Source organism: Homo sapiens, chromosome 1 (assembly GCF_000001405.40).
Source record: "Homo sapiens chromosome 1, GRCh38.p14 Primary Assembly".
Classification (NCBI taxonomy): Eukaryota; Metazoa; Chordata; class Mammalia; order Primates; family Hominidae; genus Homo; species Homo sapiens.
The window spans coordinates 198,055,194-198,060,351 of NC_000001.11; the positions used below are offsets into that span (position 1 = coordinate 198,055,194).

A 5,158-nucleotide genomic window follows, 5' to 3' on the forward strand; every position below is an offset into this window, starting at 1 on the left:
TAAGTTAATTTCTGTTCTGCTGGATCTTGGATTAAAAGTCTCATAAATCCTGGGCCTAGTGGTGCACGCCTGTAATCCCACCTACTTGGGAGGCTGAGGTGGGAGGATTTTTTGAATTCAGGAGTTTGAGATCAGCCTGGGCAACATAATACGACCCTGTCTTGTTCTGTGGGCTATACAGGCTTCTGCTTCTGGAGAGGCCTCAGGAAACTTACAATTATGGTGGAAGGCAAAGGAGAAGCAAGCACGTCTTACGTGGGTGGAGCAGGAGAAAGAGAAAGAGACGGAATTGTTCTTCTAATTTTTTGTATTTTTCTGTATTCTCTTATATCTCACCGAGCTTCTTTAACATTATCGTTTTGAATTCTTTTTCCAGAATTTCATAAATGTGTTGTTCACTGGGATCTATTGCTGGAGATTATTATGTTCCTTTGGAGGTATAATAGTTCCCTGTTTTTTTCATGTTTCTTTGTCCTTATGTTGATATCTATGCATCTGGTGTAGCAGTGGCTTCTTCCAATTTTTTGAATCTTCTTTCATAGGGGAGGTCTTTTTCCTCAATATGTATCTATAGTGTTAGTTGGGTAGAGCATTTTGGCTTTGATTCTAAGTGCATGCAGTAGGGTAGTCTCTGTATGATTTCTTTGGCTGTAAACAGCATCAGTGGTACCTTTGATTTCCTCAGTGACTTAGGTGTGGTTGCTAGTGGCAACTGTGGTGAAGTTTTTCTGGAGACTGGGATGCCAGATGAGCCAGTCCTTGGGCCCTAGTGGTGACAGTGGTGAGCTGGACATGCCAGTAGCTGGGCCTTAGGGTGGTATATGTTGGCAGCAGCATTAATGGGTCCAACTGGGTTGATTCTCGGGTTTCCAGGCAACTTGCTTGGGTGTCAGTAGTGACAGTGGTGGGCAGGGCCAGTGGCTGGGTTCTTGGTCCCCTGGGCAGCCTGCATGATGTGAGCAGTGGTAGTAGCAGTGGTAGAACAAGCCTTTGGTTCTGATGTGGTCTGAACTGGTGTTGGTACTGGTTATGATGAGCAAGGTGGGCTAGTTCCCAGGTCTGCAGATAGTATGTGCAGGTGGGTGTCTGCTATGGCAGTGGTGGCAGGGTGGGTGGGCCCAATCTCAGGCCCTGGAAGGAGTGCTTAGGTACCAATGATGATACACCAGGCTGGACGATCCCCAGACCTCTGAACAGCATGCTTAGGCACTGCAGAGTTGGAGCCAGGTTGCAAGAGCCTGTCCTCACGACCCCCAGTGGTGTGTGCAGGTACTGGCTATGGTAGGCAGGGGAAGGTTAATCCTCAGGTCCCTGGCAGAATGCTTGGACAGGGGCAGCAGTGCCTGTGCTGGAGTCCTGCTACTGGACAGATGGGGTTGCTTTCAGTGGCAGCAGTTGTAGGCAGGTGGCTGGAAAGCATGCACTTCCCTCATGTTTTGAATCTAGCAGTGGAAGCCCATAGCAGCAGTGGCTGCAGGCAGGTGAGTCTGTTCTCAGGGCAAGTGAAAATGCATGGTGACTCCACTGCTGGGGGAGTCAGGTTAACTGCCAAGGGCTTAAGCTTTGGTACTGGTGGCAGCAGCCAGCCACAGCAGTGGCTGCAGGCAGGAGGTATCAACAGGGCTTCAGGGATGTGGAGACGTAGGGGCTTTGGAGCTCCAGGGCAGGATGCAGTTAGGCGGGGCCAGGCTCTCAAAATGACACCTTCCTGTAGCTACTTAGAACTCAGTGGGTATGTGAGGTGCAGCACAATCTCCCTCTCTGGAGCAATGCTTTTCTGTAGTCTCCACACAGCTTCCCATGTTAGTCTCAGGGCCCAGGAGGATTGAAGGGATCACCTGTGCTAGGATTTCAGGAGTCCATGGTGGGAATGTGGACCACTGGGGATTTCATACCTTTTTCCCACAATGGACAGCCTCTCAAGGCTCATAGCCAATCCTGGCCAAGCAGGCTGCCTCCCTTTCCACTTCTTTCTTGCTTTAGGTGTTTCCTCTCAGTTCTTTGTTGAATTTCAGTGTTCTCTGTTAGATGATCTATTCAAAGAGTGATTATCTACTCACTATTTTGGTTCTTCTTTGTGGAGAAGACGGGTGCCAGATTCCTCTAGTCAGCCGTCTTGAAGACCTCCTCAACATATGCTTTTATCTCTTGTGAGTATGTACCTAGGAGAGGAATAGCTGGACTGTGTGACTCATTGGTCATAGATGTTCTCCTTTTAAGAAGCTGCCAAACTATCTTCTGAAATGGTTGAACCATTTTACGTTCTCATTTGCAGTTTACAAGATTTCCAGTTCCTCCTCATCCTCAACAACACTTGGAGCAGCAAATCTTAGTAATTTTTGCTAGCCTAAGGTAGTGTGTAATGGTACCTCATTGTGGTTTTCATTTGAATATTTCTAATGACTAACGATGATGAGCAACTTTTCATGTGCTTATTTGCCATCTTTTTTGTGAACTCTGTTTAAATCATTTGCTCGTTTCTTAATTGGGGTATCTGTTTTCTCACTTTTAAGTATTGAGAGCTCTTTATATATTCTAAATTTAAGTCTTTTGTCAGATACATACTTTGAAAATATTTTTTCATGGTTTGTGGCTTTGAAAGTCTGTGGCTTTAAAAATGTCTTAAAATAGCAGAAGGTTTCAATTGTGTTAAAGTATAATTTATCAATTTTTTCTTTTATGGATTGTGCTTCTGGTGTTCATAGTTAAGAAATATTTGCCTAACCATAGGTCACAAAGATTGTCTCATGTATAATCTTCTATAATTTGTATAGTTTTAGGATTTACATTTAGGTATATAATGCATTTTCTTTTAAATTTTATATGCAGTGCAAGGCATGGATGGAAGTTTATTTTTGCATATATATATATATCTCCAATTGTTCCAGCACCATTGTTAAAAAAAGACTATCCTTTTCCCACTGAATGGACTTTGTGCCTTTCTTGAAAATTAGTTGACCATATATGTGTGGATTTATTTCTAGATTCACAGTTTTGTTCCATTGATGTATTTATTTGCCTTTACACCAATAGCACACTGTCTTGATTATTTTGGCTTTATAATAAATGTTGAATCAGGTACTGTTACTCTTCTAACTTTGTTTTTATTTTTCTAAATGATTTGACTTTTCCAGATAATTTGTATTTACATATGAATATTATGATTAGCTTGTTTATTTTTAAAAAAAATAAAGCTTGCTGGGATTTTGAATGGGATTGGTAAATCTATAGCTCAATTTGGGAAAAGTTGACATATTAACAATATTGACTCTCCTGACCCGTGAACAAGGGGTTCATTTATTCAGGTCTTTAAATTTCTCCTAGAAACATTTTTGTAGTTTTCAGTGTATAGGTCTTAACACCTATTAGGCGAATTTATCCCTGAGTATTTCTTATTCTTTTAAGCTACTGTAAATGGTATTGTTTTTTAAAATTTTACTTTATGATATTTCATTACTGGTAGATAGAAGTATAATTGATTTTTGTTTATTGATCTTGTATCCTGCAACCAAGCTAAATTTACTTGGTAACAGTTTTGGGAGATCCCACCAAAATTTTCTGAATAAGCATATTGTTTATGAATAAAAACAGTTTCAATGTTCTATTTTCCTTTTCTTGTCTTGTTCCACTGGCTAGGACTTTTGGTGGTACAAGTTTAACAAAATGTACAGACAGCAGACATTCTTTTATTGTCTGCACCTTAAGGAAAGTGTATTTGTATATTTGGTCTTTCACCATTAAGTGTGATATTAGCTGTAGGTTTTTTGTAGATATGCCCAGCATCAGATTAAGGAAAGTCTTTAGTATTTTTAGTTTAGTGAGAGTTAAAACATTTTCTTTTTTATTTCAATAGTGTTAGGGTAAAGGTGTTTTTTGGTTACATGAATGAATTGTACAGTGGTGAAGTCTGAGATTTTATCGCACTGGTCACCAGAGTAATGTACATTGTAACCAACATGTAGTTTTTTATACCTCACCCTCCTCCCACCAAGTGAGAGTTTTTATAAACAATGGATGTTGCCTTTTCTTAAGTGTTTTTTCTGTGTCTATTGATATAATCATATTAAAAATTTAAAATTCTTTTATTATGCTCAGTTACATTGGTTGATATTTGAACATTAAACCAACTTTGCATTTCTGGGATAAATCATACTTGGTCATAATGTATTACCTATTTTATAGATCATTGATTTAGATTTGTAAAATTTTGTTTAGACATCTTGCATCTATATACATAAAGAATATTGGTCTATAGTTATTTTTTCTTGTAATGTCTTTGTCAGGTTTTGGTATCAGGGTAATGCTGACCAGAGTAGAATGAATTGAACAGTATTGATACTGCATATTTTAGAATATAAAATTTAAGCCTTTTTCCATTAAAAGTAATGCAATGGTGTTACAAAAAATGGAACAAGTAAACATAAAGTAAATGAGGCATTCCTCTACAATATAAAGACATAAGAGTCACTTTTTTCTGGTAGAATTTTAAAAACTAGAGATACTTATGCTTTTTATATATATCACTTATATTTTCTTAAGATATCGTAATCCTTGTTCACATTTCCTTACAGTTTTAAAACCATTTTAAATGTTTGCCTCATATTCTATTGAGTGGATATAATATAATTGTACATATTGCCTAATGTCAGAATTTCCCTTATTATATTGATAGTATAAATATTCTGTAAAGAATGTCTTAGAGAATATCAATTTCCCACAATTCGGATTCCTCTCTTAGAATAAATACCTAGAAGTAGAATTACAGCACAAAATTTGTGAATATTTATATGACTTTTACATGTTTTTGTAGAATGTTTTAAAACAAAAATAGGTGTCAGAGTCCTTGACTCCAATGAAAATGCATAAAAACATGTAGAATTTAAGGTATGTAGCATTAAATGTTCTGTAAGAGCAAATTGAGGGAAATGTTAACAAACTTCCAAAATTCTGTGTATATTTACTGAATAATTTAGCTTTGGCTCTATATGTTTTTAAACATACAATAATTCACTTAATATTCATAATTTTGAAAAACCCAAGAACAGTTTTGGAGGCAAAATTCCCAAACAATAATGGTCCCAGTGGATTGATGAACACAAATAAGTAGATGTACGTTATTAAATGCATTAGGCAAGTATGGCAAGCTGTCTTTTGCTAG

The 5,158-nt window shown here is 37.9% G+C and overlaps 1 annotated feature.

Annotated features, from left to right (window-relative positions):
* Positions 1,502–2,126: an enhancer, noted in NCBI's record as "H3K27ac-H3K4me1 hESC enhancer chr1:198025825-198026449 (GRCh37/hg19 assembly coordinates)". NCBI's record gives its function as "activates a minimal SCP1, AML or CMV promoter by ChIP-STARR-seq in naive H9 embryonic stem cells {active_cell/tissue: H9 hESC(naive)}" and the evidence as "EXISTENCE:reporter gene assay evidence [ECO:0000049][PMID:30033119]".